Source organism: Homo sapiens, chromosome 1, assembly GCF_000001405.40.
Source record: "Homo sapiens chromosome 1, GRCh38.p14 Primary Assembly".
Classification (NCBI taxonomy): domain Eukaryota; kingdom Metazoa; phylum Chordata; class Mammalia; order Primates; family Hominidae; genus Homo; species Homo sapiens.
The window spans coordinates 161,702,756-161,718,896 of record NC_000001.11 but is presented as its reverse complement, the minus strand read 5'-3'; the positions used below and the strand labels follow the sequence as shown (position 1 = coordinate 161,718,896).

Below are 16,141 nucleotides of genomic sequence, written 5' to 3'. Positions count from 1 at the left end.
TTCTCTTCAATGTACTTGTCACCACCCGGAATTGTATTTGTTTGTTTGTGGTAGGTTCCCCCATTAGAATGTAAGCTCCATTGAGGCAGGAATTTTTTCTTTTTTGCTGATGTATCACCTACAGCAGTGACAGCACATAGCACGTGCTGTGTAAGTATTTGTGGCATAAACAAAGGAAGAGATTGAATACCGTGATATTACTCTCAAAAGTGGCTGCAGAAGCTTATACACCCACCAGCAATTCACGTGGCTCCCATTCCCTCTTGTCATCAATATTCAGTGTTTCTTACCTTTGTAATTTTATCAAACAAATTTTTCTTTTCCTAAATAAGAACATTTAAAATTATTCTTATTTTATTTTCTGTAACCCAGGATAGGGCTGATAATAATATATTTTTTAAAATTGCTATTGCTATTCTTTTTTTTTTTTTTTTAGACGGAGTTTCACTCTTCTTGCCCAGGCTGGAGTGCAATGGTGCAATCTCAGCTCACCACAACCTCTGCCTCCTGGATTCAAGCAATTCTCCTGCCTCAGCCTCCCGAGTAGCTGGGATTACAGGCATGCGCCACCATGCCTAGCTAGTTTTGTATTTTTAGTAGAAACAGGGTTTCTCCATGTTGGTCAGGCTAGTCTCGAACTCCAGACCTCAGGTGATCCGCCCGCCTCAGCCTCCCAAAGTGTTGGGATTACAGGCGTGAGCCACCGTGCCCGGCATAAAATTATATTCTTTAATGTAAACTTTTCAGCAAAAGGAAGGCATTTCGATACCAAAGGAGTGCAAAGGACAATTTCAGAATAGAGAGCAGAGTATTTCTTTACATTGAATGTCTTTAGCTTTATGAGAAATTCACACATAGTTAATGAAAACTAACAGTGCCTGTCTGAAGGAACTCTGGCAGGAAGGCTGTGCTGTAACTCTCCGTATTTCTCCACATCTCCTCTTGTCCAGTGGGAAGGGAGAAGGTTGATACCAAGAGGGAAGAAAACTTTTAAGAAGACAGGACTAGGGTGAGGCCTATCCCAACACACCCTCCTTAAACTTCCTCCTATGATTCTAGCAGGTCATTTTATCCCTTCCCTAGTCTCTTCTAAGTTGTAACTGAACCAAGTTTTTCTACCTTGGGCTACTGGGCTGGGTACAGAGAGCTTTGTGTTTGGGAGGTGCAATGCTACTCCATATCTGATCACCCAGACCTGTTAACACCTCTCAGATCATTACTCTCTATTCCTCCTGTCCCTAGCCAAGGCCCTTGTCTCAGAAGGCTGGATGAGAACAACAGCCTTCAAATCCACCTCCCTCAACCTCTCTTCTAGTCGCCCCATTCACCTTATACCAGAGTGCCAGAATAATCATCCTAAACATCACTTTTCACGAGTTCCTCCTTTACTCAAAATTTACCTACAGAATTCGATCAATTTTCTTATGGACATTTAAAGAGCCTCTATAGCACATTTAAGAGCCTCTGTAGTCTATTTACTTCTCCATTATTATTTCCTTCCGCTGAACTCTGTTTCAAAGGATTTGCCTTCTTTTTCCCTGACATCTGCATGCCAGTTTTCCCCTTTATGCCCTTGCTTACATCATCCCACTCTGGAACGTCCTTTCCTCTCTTCTCCTGTTCTGTAGATCTGTCATGTTTTTCAAGGCCCCACCCATGTATTATCTTCTTCATGAGATGCACCTGAACACTCCAGTCCCCAGTGAGCGATCTATTCCCTGAGTTCCTGTCTTGTTCATCATCATCCCCACTTCCAAGTGCATAGCTGGTAGTACAACATCCTATTTATATAGAGTTTGGTGTTTAATATGGTTTGAAACAAATTAACATGGTAATTTACTCATTTTCCTGTTGGTGGACATCTGCACTGACTTCTTTTCAATAAAAGAAAGGCATTTCAGTACCAAATTTTGCTTTTACAAGCTTTGTTACTGTAAACGTTATCACACCTGTCTTCTGGCGTGCATATGCTAAGTTTTCTCTTGGGCGCATCCACCTAGGCATGGGGTTCTGGGTTACAGAGTATGCAGATGCACTGTTCAACTTACAAGATAATGGACGTGTGTAACACAATAAGAAATATGTACTTTTCTCTGCCCCTTTGGGTAGCTCTTTGGCAGAGAGCTACCAAAATCCTGGGGATTTCCTGAGTGATAGGGATGAGATGAGTATTTCTTGTTATGTATAATTAGCCCCTTCAATCATGCCTGAGTTTATGCTAATAAGGTGACTCTTAACTCTGCAATTAGAGGGTTGGAACTTTCAGGGGTCTGTGCTAACTCTGGGTAGTTAGAGTAAGAATTGGTAAATTACACAACATCTAACTGGTTTCTGCTGAGAATTAGAGAATTGCTTGGTGTGGAAAACTCACCTTGACCTCCTGGAGGAGAAAAGGGCTGGAGTTTGAGTGAATCACCAATTGCCAATGATTTAATCAATCATGCCTGTGTAATGAAGCCTTCATTAAAAACCCTAAATGGTGGAGTTCTAAGGGCTTCCAGATCAGTGAACACACGGAGAAGCTGGAGGGTGGCACACCCAGAGAGCGTGCAAACTCTGCACCTCTTCCCACATACCTTGCCCTATGTATATCGTCATTGGCTGTTAAGTAAACTGTTTTCCCAAGTTTTGTGAGCCATTCTAGCAAATTATTGAACCCAAGGAGTTGTGAGAACCTCTGACTTATAGCTGGTCGGTGTCAAGTACCAGAAGCCTGGGATTTGCAATTGGCTTTTGAAGTGAGAGCAGTCATGTGGGACTGACCCCTTAACCTATGGGGTCTGTGCTGACTCTGGGTAGTTGGAGCCAGAATCGATAAATTGTAGAACATCTAGTTGGTTTCCACTGAGAAGCAGATAAAAACTTGGTATGGGAATCCATATGTTTCATGTCAGAGGTATTGTGAGCGGAGAACAGTTTTCCTTTTCATGTGCTTGCTATCTAATGTTTATTTCAGAGACAATGTTGAGCATAGCTGCATTGGGACCTCTGTCAATTACAGAATCCTAAATGGCACAAGCCATAAACCAGATCCATTGTAACGATTCCTCTTCCCTACTCCCTCTCCAACCTCCCCAGGCTAGACAGAAAGAGACGGGTAAATGCTTGCTCTCCCTATCTCTCTCTCTCATTCTTTTAGCTCTGTTCTTGCCTTCCTCATCCCTGTTGATAGATCCTCTCCCTGAGGTTTCTAAGTCCTTGACTGAGGCTGGGTCCCCTGGATAGAGTCTGGAGATTTAGCTGATGCCAGACATGACATTCATCCTTTAAGGTCCAGCTTCATTCCCATCCTCTTCAAGATGTTTTCCCTTATTTTGCTGGCCCAACTCGATTCAACTAAACAAAATTTACTGAGAACTTACATATGCCTCATTATACTAGACATCAATGACACAACATGGAACAAAGAGCTCAGGAGTATTCTCAAAGACCTCACCCTCTGGTGAACAAAAATGAGTAATAAAAAATTAAAATGCAGTGTGGTGATAGAGGTGCACAGATACACATGGATGAGGTGTACAGAGATTACATTTATCTCAGCCAGCTGCATCCATCTTTTCTTTCCCAGATCTCTGATAGCTTCTACTATCTGTAAATGAATTCCCCATTTAGCAGGAGCTTGCAGGATGCATTCATGCAAATGCGAGCATTAGCTGAAATCAACTCCATGTAGAGTGGTTATAACATAGTATCTTTGGAGACACATCCACCATGGTACATTGGCAACTGAGCTTCCATTTTTTCAAGTCCATCAAAGTCATGACAGTTCTGGTCATTCTTGCAACTCCCATTCACACAATTGTAAATCAGTCCTCTCAGGCTGTAGTGTTGTTTACAGACTTCTACCAATTCCCAGATGCCTCCTGATCTTTTTTTTTTTTCCCTCGAAGGTGGCAAGAACTACCATAAAACTCTCATTTTACCATCGGCATGATTCTATGTCTTTGTTTCTTTGTGGTATGTCTAGAATGATCATGTGCATGTCTCTTGTAAATCATTTTGGGTCAAAACTGCACGGAATAAATGGCACAAAGAAAGGCCACAGTGGAGAAAATCACACCATGTAATTCAGAATAACATGGTAGAACAGCCACTGGCTGAGGTCATGATAAAATGATGTGCTAACTGATTGAGTTAAGGTTATTATAGAGCCTGCCAGGCCAGCTCTCATTGGCTGAGAATGTACAATAGAAGTCCAAGCATAGAAAAAAGTATTAATATGAGACTAAAACGGAGTCATTATGTGTTATTAAAGAGAAAGATTTCAGAGACCGATGAATTAAAAACAAATATCTGCAACTCTGGCAACATTATACTCGGTCACTTATTTCTGAGCCCAGTAGGATCCTGTGGGAAATTTTTATATACCCTGCTTTAATTGTGTTATAGGATGGGGTACTATTCCCTTCTATCCCACAGTGTAAGCCCTCTGTAGACAAAGACACTGTTTTATGAGTATTTTTAACATATCATAAACTCAGTCATGTGGCAGAGGCCAACTGCCTAGTCCATTTGGGCTACTATAACAAAATACACAAACTGAATAGCTTACAAACAACAGAATTTTATTTCTCATAGTTCTGGAGGCTGGAAGTTCAAGATCAAGGCAACGACAGAGTCGGTGTTTGGCGACAGCTGTTTTTTGGTTCTCATACATGTCATCTTCTTGCCACGTCCTCATATGGTGGAAGGGTGAGTTAGCTCTCTGGGGCCTTTTTAAATAAGGGCACTAATCCTAATCATGAGGGCTCTGCACTCCTGATCTAATCACTTCCCAAAGGCCCACTTCTTAATGCCATCACCTTGGGGATTAGGATTTCAACATAATGGCTTTTGAGGGGATACAAACTAGAACTAAAGAACAGACCATAGCACCAGCTAAAGACTGGTATGTCAGTAAGAATAGCTGAATGAGGCTGGAAAGAGATAATAATTAGAAGGGACAAAGTCCCATTCCAGAGCCCAACACCTAGGGTTTCATTAGGCTGGGGTTTCTCAAACTCAGTACAACTGACATTTTGGGCCAGATTATTTTTCGTTGTGGGGTACTGCCCTGTGCATTATAGGATGTTTAGCGGCACCCCTGGCTTCTATTTACTGGATGCCAGTAGCACACACATCCCACCATCCCCCAACCCCCCAAGTATAATGACCAAAATGTCTCCAAACATTGCCCAATGTCCTCTGGGGGGCAAAATTGCCCCCAGTTGAGACTGCTGTATTCAATCCACTTCCATTAGTTCTCTTTAAATCACAACATTCTGGTCGATATAACAGATAGAAATTCCTGATCTAGACAGCAGAATTCTGTTGTGTTAAGAGAGAATACACAATTATAGCTAAACTCTAATTCTCACTTTATATAAATTTATTTACACTCACCTAACTACATTATTCTAACAAAACACTGGGACAACTTGTAAAAGTACTTATGCATATGTGCAGGACAGGAAGAGAAAATAAAGAATCAGATTTATTGGGGTGGTTAAGTGAGATCATGGATGAACTGTTTACTTCTATTCAGCAGTAGCCTTTGTGGTCCCAGGCTTCCGGTGGCCAGATAATTCCCTCAACTCCATGAGCAGGTGACCGAGGAGGACTCTCACATCCTGCATGTGTTTGAGAAGAAGGCCCATCTGGTGATACAGATGAGGATCTGGCATCCCCAGAGGAGAAGAAAAGCCTGGATCCTCAGAAGATGGGGTTGGCGGCGGAGGCAGAGGCCCAGGGGCCTCCTCAGGAGCAGTTCCTGGAGCAGCTGATTTCTGAGGAGCTGGATTCAATGTGGGAGGTGCAGCAGAGCTGGAAGCACCTGAATTATGGGGCAGGAGGCACATACAAGAGTGAAGTCTGACTCTGGCCCTTCCCTCCCATCCCTGGCCAATCTTTCTTGTTCTCTGAAAGTGGCTGTGGGGCCCAATGGCAGCAGGGACTTGAGGACTCTAGTGTCCCTCCTGGTCCAAATTTTAATCTGAAGCTTGGCCACTTCTGTTTGAAATTCTTCAGCAGTGAGGCTTCACCACTGGACAGCTATAACTATTAGCCAGTTCTTTCTCTATCAAGGCTGAATCTAATTCCCTGAAGCATGAATGTGGTAACTGGTTCTAGGTCAGCCTCTTTATTATATAAGACATTAGTCCAATTCCTTGTGCTAATGCCAGCCTTCAGCTTTTTGAGGACACCTCTGCTGGCCTCTGAGTCACCTCCTCTTCAGGATAGCATCTCCAGCCCCTTCCATTATTTTTCATATGACATGACTTTAAGCCCCCTTATCACCCTGGACACCTCTTCTGGGAGTGTTTCAGGTCAAGTGCAGCCTCTTAACAGTGGCTCCCAGAATTGAACATAGACTTCAGACTATCCCATCTTCATTCCAGATATTAAATTCCTATAAATGCCCAGAGAGCATGTTGGGGGGGATGCTAAGGCTTGTGGGGCAGCAGGTGTGGAGCTGGCTCAGCTCTTGGTCTGGTGAGGTGTGCACCACAGTCTGAGGGAGAAGTTCTCTATTTGTGCTGTCTCTCATCATCAGGGATTCTGGCCCATTGTTCCTGCCCCCTCTGTGTCCCTTCTTAACCTGCTCACACTGAACCCCAGCTCACAGGTCAATTTATCCTATCCCTCCTTTTCACTCACACGCATGCCAAACAGACAACCTGCACTCTGATGCGAACTCACCCTGCACTCTGATCTCTAGCTGGGGGCTCTGTTTCCAAACTTGGTTGTCCTCAGTGGCTGCCTCACACCAGTATGACCCGGAGTGATCTTCTGAAGCTGTGGGGATCTGGAATTCTGAGGAGAGCCCCCTGCTTTGCACTATCCTTCCATCCTTGTAGAAGGAGAAGAGGAGGCGGGCAGCTGACCTCTGCAGGGGCAACTTTGTCTGACAACTCAGGGTCATGGGGCTTCCTGCTTGGGGTTCAGCTGAGGGTACAGCTCTGAGAATTGGCGCTGGAAACAGTTCTGGGAAAAAGATAGGCAGGAAAGAAGAGCTCAGCCATCTTATATACAGGTAGACACATGCAGGTGAAGAGACTTGGGGAGTCATACTTCCTTTCCCCTGTTTCCAGCAGGAATGGGCTCTCTTAGATTCCATTTGAATCTGTCAAGTTCTTTCTGTAAGTAGACAGGACTAGGAAAGATCCACAGATGGGCAAATCTGATAGTTGTCCAGACACCCAATCAGTGAGCACTAGGAAGCATAGATCTGGGTGGTAGGAACTATGCTGGACTCTGAGTGGGGCTGGATGACTTCAAAAGGCTGAGGTCTCGTCCCTTTCGAAGCCCAACTTGGGCATTTGCCAGCAACCTGCTCCATAGTCTGTTGATGATCTTGCTACCTCCAGGCTAAAGAAAGACAATTTGGGCTCCCTGTCTCTCCTTACCCTCCCCTGCCATGACAATGCTGCTTCTAGCTCTCACCTTGGACTGTGATAGCCACAACAGATGCTGTTTCTGGGATCCCAGGACCAGGGCTCTGGAAGATGCCACTGCAGTGGTAGTGCCCGCTGTCTGCCTTTTGTACCACGGTGATGGAGAATTCCCTGTTAGGCCCGGGGGGACCCAGAGCTGAGCCATCTCGGTAGAAGGTCACCTGAGTCAGTGGCCAGTCTTGCCAGGCCTGGCAGCGCAGAACCAGCAGGTCCCCTTCAAAAACTGGCTTGGCTGGACCTTGGAGGATCAGCCAGTCTATGGTCCAGAGAAAGAGCTGAGTGTCACCCAGGGCCTCCCTTGGGGGCCACCCCCAAGCATGCCTACTCCCCTAAACTTTCTCTGAGGGTCCAGGTAAACTCTCACCCCTGGTTGGGAGTATGGGACAACTTCCCTAGGGCCTAGGACTTAGAGCACCCTGGTTGCTGTGGGCTGAAGACTGGGAAGGAAGTACCTCATCCCATAGCCAATTTCCTAGGGACACTTTCCTGGGTGGGCTCTGAGGCTGAAAGAAGGGGTTTGGGGCACTGCTCAGGCCTTCCCAGGACCTCACCATAGGACACAATCAGGTGGAAGGGTTCACTGAAAGTGTAGGCCTTGACCTGGAAGCCAGCTTCCCTTGCATCAGTCAAGTCATCCTCCGTGTGGCAGCTGCTCTCCTCAGTGCAGACAGGTCCCTCACACTGCAGCGTCTCAAAACTGGCAGCTGAAGAGGGCATGGCCCAGGGAGAACCAGAAAATGATGATGCAACTTGGAGAAAGAGGACAGGGTTCCTCCATCTCCCAGGATAATCATCCTTTTTAGAATGAGACTAGTAAGACATCAAAACCTTTTTTTTTTTCGGAAAGACCCCTGAGAGTGTCTCAGGGGGATAGTTTTGACCTTGATTCACTGGCGTCCAGGTGCTCTCAGCAAATGCACTGTGGTTTGGAGAAGAGGGAGGGGAGAGAATGAAAGAATGGTGAAACTCACCGGCATGACATCCAGCTGCTGGTACGGGAAACCAGGAGCAAAGACAATGGTAACTCGAAGCAGGGAGGCATAGGACAGGAATGAAAGGGAGACATCAGATTCTAATGTTCACTGGGTGCCAGACCCTGCTAGCACTTGTGTGCAGTATCTAACTTCATCCTCACAAACTTTCCAGGTAGGTGACTTTATCCTCATTTTATAATCTTAAAGAAACACACTTAGAAAACCAAATTAACATACCCAAAGCTTAAAAAGAGACTAAGCAATGGATCGGGAAAGGCAGGTGTGTCTGAGTCCAAAATCAATGTTCTTTTTACTTCACTGTGCAAATATGGTCTACTTCAGTCCTCAGACCTTCCTCGGGGACTTTCTTTCATATTCTGATTTTCCCAAACTTCACTTGGCTCCTCAGCCTTGAATATGTTATCTAACAAAGAGCTTTCAGTACCCAGCAGTGTCTCTCCTCCTTTCTTCCTCCCCCTTGCAGGTCTTCACTTTTCAGCCATCTTTACTTTAATGTCCTCTGCCACTTGAATTTTCCCTGGCAGTGGCACAGAGCTTTCTCTGTCTTTTTTCCCCTCCTCCCAGTCCATATTAGTAACTGTGGAACAATTCTTTGCTCCAGATTGAAATTTAGAATTATCCATTTCTCACCACATCTCCTCAACCTATCTCTTACCTTCATGGTAGACCTAGGCAAGGGAAGTGACATTTCTCCCTTCTCTGGGACTGCTCTTTATCTCCCTAACTATTCTCCCCCTCCTCCAGCCTCATGGCCATTCACATGTGCATACTTCTTCACTCCATCTGACTGTCATTTCGTGCCCCACTTGCCTTTATTCTCTTCCACTCCCAATAGCCCAGCGTTCTTCTTTGATTTTGTCATGTCCCTTACCAAGACCCCTCCCTACTTCCTAATTCTCATCACATCAGTACCAGGTGTTTTCTTTCCATCCTTTCTCCGCTCCCTTCACTGTAATGCTACCTCTTTTCAGTTCCTCCACTGTCACTCATCTGTGCTCTGCCTCCTCTCCATTTTTTCTTTTTAAAAATAAAATCTTATCCAGGCGTGGTGGCTCATGCTTATAATCACAGCACTTTGGGAGGTTGAGGTGGGAGGATCCCTTGAGCCCAGGAGTTTGAGACCAGCCTGGGGAACATAGAGAGACCCTGTCTCAACAAATAATTTTTTAAAAAATTGGCCAGGCCTGGTGGCACTTGCCTGTGGTCCCAGCTACTTGGGAGGCTGAGATAGGACGATTGCTTAAGCCCAAGAGGTCAAGGTTGCAGTGAGCAGTGATTGCACCACTGCACTCCAGCCTGGGTGGCAGAGCGAGACCCTGTCTCAAAACATAAAATAAAATAAAATAAAATCTTGTTGGGTTACTGGGAACTCACTCAATAAACCTTAGGTGGTAGGTATTATTATTTTCATTCTACAAATGAGAAAACTGAACCAGAAATAGAAAAAGTGATTTTCTAAAGTGACATAGAGCTGGTAAATAGAAGAGGGGCTTGAAACAGGAGTATCTGATTCCAAGTCTGCAGTTCTTATCACAAGACAAAAACAAAAAAACATTGTCACTACCCACAAATAGCTCTCAATTTAGTGGAAGACACAGGTAGATGAAAATATTATTTCAGCATAAGTAGGAAAATATTATAATAAGAAAAATGTATCGCAAGCAGCCATTGGAGCAGAAAGAAGCATTCAAGAAAAGCTACCTGGAAAAGATACCATTTAAGCTGAGTCTTTAGGGGTACCTACACATTTGCAAGGAGAAGGAGAGTAGGGTGCCATGGAAAGAACTCATTTCAGGTAGAGATAGTGGTATAAGCAAAGCCTTAGAGACAGGCAAGAGTCTGGTGTGTGAGTATGTAAATATGAACTGATTGAGATTTATTAGAGCATAAGTTACAAGGCTGAGAGGGTAAAAGTAGAGGCTGCTTGGCCTTTTGTGCCATGATAAAGAATTTGGGCTGGTAAACTTGAGTTTTAGAAATTACTCTGTCTGCAGGGTACAGAATTCATTTCAAGAACACAAGGTTTGGACGAGGAGATTAGTTAGGAATTTACTGGAATAGCCCAAGTCATAGAGGATGAGGGCTTGTCCTAAGACATTAGTGATGATCCAGGCAAGGGACTGCTTCTATGAACAATTTAGAAGGTAAAATTGGCCAAACCTAATGATTGATCAGATTTAGAGAATGAAAAAGAAGGAAGAGTCTGGGTTGTTTCTGAGGTTTATGGCCTTGTAAGGGTAGATGCTGGTGTCATTAGCTGAGATCAGAAAGTGGAAAATGAATTAGATGAGGCAGGGGCCAAAAGGACAGATAAGTTCAACTCTAGTCACATGGTGCAGAGACACTTGTGAGATATGTAGGTAGATATGTCTGGTATGAAGCTTGATATTTGAATGTGAAGCTCAAAAGCATGGTTAGGGTTGGGGATATGATTTGGGACTCTTAAATACAGAGTTATAGTGGCAAAAATTAAACAGACAAATAAGCTCATGAAGGAGATTGTGTAAAGAAAGAGGAGTACAGAGGCAAGGCTATAACTATAGAGAACACTAGTGTTTAAGGGGAAGAGAAGAGAAGCTATTAAGGGATCAAGAGAAGTCCATGTAGTACAAGGAGAAAATGGTGCCATGGAAGCCAGGGTAGTAGAGAATGCAAGAAGGAGTAAGTGATCAACAGAGCCCAGTGCAGCAGAGAAGTCCAGCAGGATATGAACTGAAAAGCATGCCATAACCCAGTCAATATAGAGATCGTTGTGCCCTAGACAAAACCAATTCCAGTGGAAGCCAGGCTGCAAGCATTGAGGAGCGTGTGAGAAGTGAGGAAGTGGAGATAGCAAGTGCAAACTATTCTTTTAAGAAAACTTGTCTCACAAGTGAAAGAAAAGAGTTGAGATTAGAGCTAGAGAGGATATCATGATCAGAGGGGACTTTCAGGATGGAAGATTTTTATATTCAGAAAGTAATTCAATCCTGTACACCAAACTTTCTTATACCTACCCTTCTTATTCCACCTGAATACTGCTTCTTTGGAGGGCCAGAATTAGTCCATGTTTCTTTCCTTCTGGTCCTTTCTCCCAAGGTAAGCAAAGCTCCATTCCCACACCAATATTCAAATATTTTACTTACCCAGTAGCATCTGGGCCACCCAGAGCACACCAAGGGAAAGGTAGAGGGCCCAGGCCATGAGGACACAGCCCAGCTTCATGGTGACTGTGTTTAGGTCTCCTGCAACCCCAACACTGATTTTCTTCAACATGAAACCTCTCAGATTAGAAAAGAGGAAGTAAATTTAACTGTCTCATCTCCTTGCATCTGGGGTCTGTTTTCATTTTCTAGTTTGTAATTGGCTTTCATCATTCAGATTTGGCCAACACGCTTTCAGCATCATCTGCACCCTTAGGGCTATGACAAAATGGTAGCACTCTCAGCTGTTCAAGAATTTACTCACAGAGCTCAGGGGCCTGTCAAAGCATGTCATTGTCTGATAGCCAGCTGGCCTTCATGTACACTCTGGGAAAGGTCAGTGCAACAACCACCCTTTTCACTGGTGATGCAACTGGGGACAGAAGGTGGGATGTTGTTTGAAGGCCAATAGAAAATCACTGGAGAATCAATGATGAGAATTCAAATGTCCTGCCCATTCCAACACTTATATGTTTCTAGTGACTAGAAGGTAGCGAGACAGAGAAGGAAGATTAGTCACGGCACCAAGTTAGATATCAGATTAGTCTCTAGTAGGCTCTGACTATCCAAAGCCCACACAAATTTGCATGCAAATTTCTCTAGACTCGTGTCAGCTCTCTATTTCTGGAGCATGACTAAGTCTGCTCAGTCTCAGTGGAAATATGAGTACAAGGCAGGGAGAATCCACTGGGAAAGAGTAGAGGAAAAAGAAAATCTATTCCCAGAGGATCCAGCAGTCAGCTCAGGGCTTAGGCTCATAGCCAAAGCTCAGGCCACTGATCCTGAGGAAATTAGAGATAGGAGGCATCCGATATCTTGAGAAACCTGAGGAGACTCAGGAATAGGAGCAATATAGAGGCTACAGCCTCTCCCTTCCGTTCCAGATGGCCTCCTGGGAACCATTGTCCCTGCCTCTGAATGTTTGCTATTTGTTTGAGGCCTACTTAATGGTAGGGCCCATGTGTCTTTTCACAGTGGCCACATTCCTCCCCTTTCTGTCATCATAACACCCACCAGGCCTCCAGTAGGTTATTTGGAGATGAAATGAGCCATCAGAAATGGGGTAAGGTAGGCCAGGCACTGTGGCTCATGCCTCTGTAATCCCAGCACTTTGGGAGGCCAGGGTGGGCGGATCACTGGACTGGAGGTCAGGAGTTCAAGACCAGCCTGGCCAGTATGGTGAAACCCCATCTCTACTGAAAAAAAAAAAAAAAAATTAGATGGGCATGGTGGTGCATGGCTGTAGTCCCAGTTACTTCAGAGGCTGAGGCATGAGTATCATTTGAACCCAGGAGGCAGAAGTTGCAGTGAGCCAAGATTGCACCACTGCACTCTAGTGTGGGTGACAGAGCGAGACTCCATCTCACAAAAAAAAAAAAAAAGAGAGAGAGAGAAATGGGGGAAGGTAGTTTGGTCCTCCTTGAAGGCAGAGAGAGGGACAGTATGACCCTTCAACTGTGCAAAAACCACAGGTCAGAGCAGACATATCAACCACACGGGCATAAGAGAGTGGATCTTTCTGAGTCTAAAATAAGCATTTAGAATAAAATTTCCATTATCGAGAGGCATACGCTTCTGTGCAGGTGGCCCCAGGGAGTCCAGGGGTGGTTGAATATGGGTGCTGGGGAAGGCAGTGAGGCAGTAAGCCTTGCAGCTGATGTGATGTGAAGCCTCAGAAGAGGAAGAAAAGCCTAGCTAGCCTTAATAATTTTTTTTTTTTTTTGAGATGGAGTCTCTGTTGCCCAGGCTTGAGTGCAGTAGCGCGATCTCGGCTCACTGCAACCTCTGCCTCCAGGGTTCAAGCCATTCTCCTGCCTCAGCCTCCCGAGTAGCTGAGACTACAGGAGCGTGCCATCACGCCCGGCTAATTTTTTGAATTTTTAGTAGAGATGGGGTTTCACCCTGTTAGCCAGGATGGTCTTGATCTTCTGACCTCGTGATCTGCCCACCTCGGCCTCCCAAAGTGCTGGATTACAGGTGTACGAATTAAACAAATAAAATGTGTTTAGATGCATCGCCACTCCTAAAACTACATAAAACATAGACCCTCAGGGTTAGGCAGAGGCTAAGGGGCTTCTAAACAAATCATGATATCTTTCTCTTCTTATGTCACCCTTTCTCCTTTACTGTCCTTACCATAGCATCTTACCTGGATAGAGACCCTCCCCTATACCATCTGCAGCAATCCTTGCAGGACCCCACTGTCAATATGGAAGGCAAGGGGCCTTCTGAAGATTTGGGGTGAAGCTATCAAGTTCTTTACACTGAAATTTCCATTAAGCTGCTGGGAAAATTTACTCGCTTGAAGCTTAATCAATGAACTATTTAGAATAGATGTGATTCACTGCGAGGAAAAAGCAACATTGGGTCTGCTGTTTGTTCATGGAGACTGAGATTCGGTTTATTGAGTAAGTTCCTCCATCAGGATCACCTCAGAATACTCAGGGGGAGATGGGACAAATCCCAGCTCTCATCCCATCCCAAGACCAATTAGGTGGTGGATGCCCTCCTTTGCCATTCCTGGCTTGTCACTAGTGGACTAATGCTTATCTCTTCTTTATTTTTAATTGAGTAGATAAAAATATTTATTAAAAATGTGAAGGTGTAAAAAATAATGCAGTGTATACTTTTGAAACCTTATATGGTTGAAGGAACAGACTAGTACTGTTATCCTTGAAGTACTGCATAGATCCCTGTCCGATTACACTGTCTTCCCTCCCCACCATCATCAACCACAATCTTTACCTTATATTTATCACTCTCTTTATTTTATGTAGTAATCATTTTGTATTTTTGAACTTTTAGTAAGTGGAATTGTACTGTATTTATCATTCTAAGGCTTTCTCTATTTTTTTTTTTTGAGATGGAGTCTCACTCTGTTGAGTGAGTGCAGTATGTTTGATCTCAGCTCACTGAAACCTCCACCTCCCGGGTTTAAGCGACTCTTCTGCCTCAGCCTCCCGAGTAGCTGAGTAGCTGGGACTACAGGCGTGTGCCACCACACCCGGCTAACTTTTGTATTTTTAGTAGAGACGGGGTTTCACCATATTGGCCAGGCTGGTCTCGAACTCCTGACCTCATGATCCACCTGCCTCGGCTTCCCAAAGTGCTGGGATTACAGGGGTGAGCCACCTTGCCCAGCCAACTTGCTTTCGTTTAACTCAACTGAAATACAACCTGATGTTCTGTGTAGCTATAGTTAACTAATTGTATTGCTGTGAAGTATTTCATCATGTGATCATGTCACAAATTATTCTATTGACAATGGACATGTGAGTTATTTTCAGGTTTTTGCTGTCAAAAACCATGCATCTATTCATGTACATAATTTGTTATTATAAGAGTTTCTCGAAGGTACATATATGAATGGAATTTTCTTATTGACTTTTAAGAGATTGTATATGTCCTAAACATAAATTTTTTGTCAGTCATATTTGTTACAAATATTTTTCAATTTATGGCTTGTCTTTTCATTTTGTGTTTGTAAAATCACTTTATTGAGAAATAATGACATACGCTAAATGCACATCTTTAAATTGTACAATTTGATGAATTTTAACAAAAGTGTGTACCTATGAAAACATGACCACAATCAAGATAATAAGCAGATGAATTACTCCTGAAAATTTACTTGTGCACTTTTGTAATCCCTTCCTCTCTATCCACCTTCTCCAGGCAACCACTAATCTGTTTTGTGTCATGATAAGTTTTCTATAGTTTACTGAGATTTTACATAGATGAAATCATACAGCATGTGCTCTTTTTGTCTGTCTTCTTTCATTCAGTATAATTATTTTCAGATTAGTCCATGTTGTTGTGTCTATCAACAGTTCTTTCCATTTTATTGCAGAGTAATATTCCACTACATGACTGTACCACACTTTGTTTATCCATTCACCTATTGTTTGATATTTGGGATGCTTCCAGTTACGGCTACTACAAATAAAGGTACTATAAACTTTCATGTACAAGTTGTATGGACACAGGCTTTCATTTATCTTGGGTACCTAGCAGTGGACTGGCTGGATCATATAGGTGTAGGTGTATTTTTAGGTAGTTTTTTAAATTTTATGTAGGTAATTTAATTTTTCTTTAAAAATTAAAAATATTTAATTTTTTAAGAAAATGCCAAGCTGTTTTCCAAATTGGTTGTATTAGCCAGGGCTCTTCAGAGAAACAGAATTAATATATGCATACAAGGAAACACAGGAATTGACTCAGGCAATTTTAGAGGCAGACAAATCCCACCCTCTGCTATCAACAAGCTGGAGAACCAACAAAACCAATGGTGTAATTCAGTTCAAGTCCAAAGGCCTGACAATCAGTGGAGTCAATAAGTCTCAGTCCAAGTCTGAAGACTCAGAACCAAGAGGGCTGGTGTCTGAGGGCAGTTAATGTCCCAGCTCAATCAGAGAGATCAAATTTGCCCTATCTCCATCTTTTTGTTTTATTCAGGCCCTGAGTGGTGGGATCATGCCCACATGCATTTGTGAGGACAGATCTTTATTCACTCTTCCAATTCAAATGCTAA

General features: G+C 43.7%; 1 protein-coding gene across 11 annotated transcripts, besides 2 other annotated features; it reads right to left on the bottom strand.

The window, feature by feature from the left end:
• FCRLA (Fc receptor like A) lies at positions 4,545–11,668 on the bottom strand. 11 transcript variants are annotated; one of them, NM_001184866.2, is made up of 6 exons: positions 11,554–11,668; positions 8,405–8,422; positions 7,985–8,137; positions 7,423–7,689; positions 6,679–6,963; positions 4,545–5,812 (listed from the first exon to the last, which is right to left on the bottom strand). In NM_001184866.2, the coding sequence occupies exons 1-6, from the start codon at positions 11,630–11,632 to the stop codon at positions 5,517–5,519; spliced, it is 1,098 nt and encodes a 365-aa protein (NP_001171795.2). In that variant the 5' UTR covers positions 11,633–11,668; the 3' UTR covers positions 4,545–5,516. The 11 variants fall into 11 exon arrangements, with proteins under 11 accessions (NP_001171795.2, NP_001353124.2, XP_011508367.2 ...); NM_001366195.2 differs by having other exon boundaries at positions 8,405–8,419; XM_011510065.2 differs by lacking the exon at positions 6,679–6,963.
• Positions 11,193–11,372: an enhancer, noted in NCBI's record as "active region_1995". NCBI's record gives its function as "activates an Ori minimal core promoter by ATAC-STARR-seq in GM12878 lymphoblastoid cells {active_cell/tissue: GM12878}" and the evidence as "EXISTENCE:reporter gene assay evidence [ECO:0000049][PMID:35858748]".
• Positions 12,913–13,132: an enhancer, noted in NCBI's record as "active region_1994". NCBI's record gives its function as "activates an Ori minimal core promoter by ATAC-STARR-seq in GM12878 lymphoblastoid cells {active_cell/tissue: GM12878}" and the evidence as "EXISTENCE:reporter gene assay evidence [ECO:0000049][PMID:35858748]".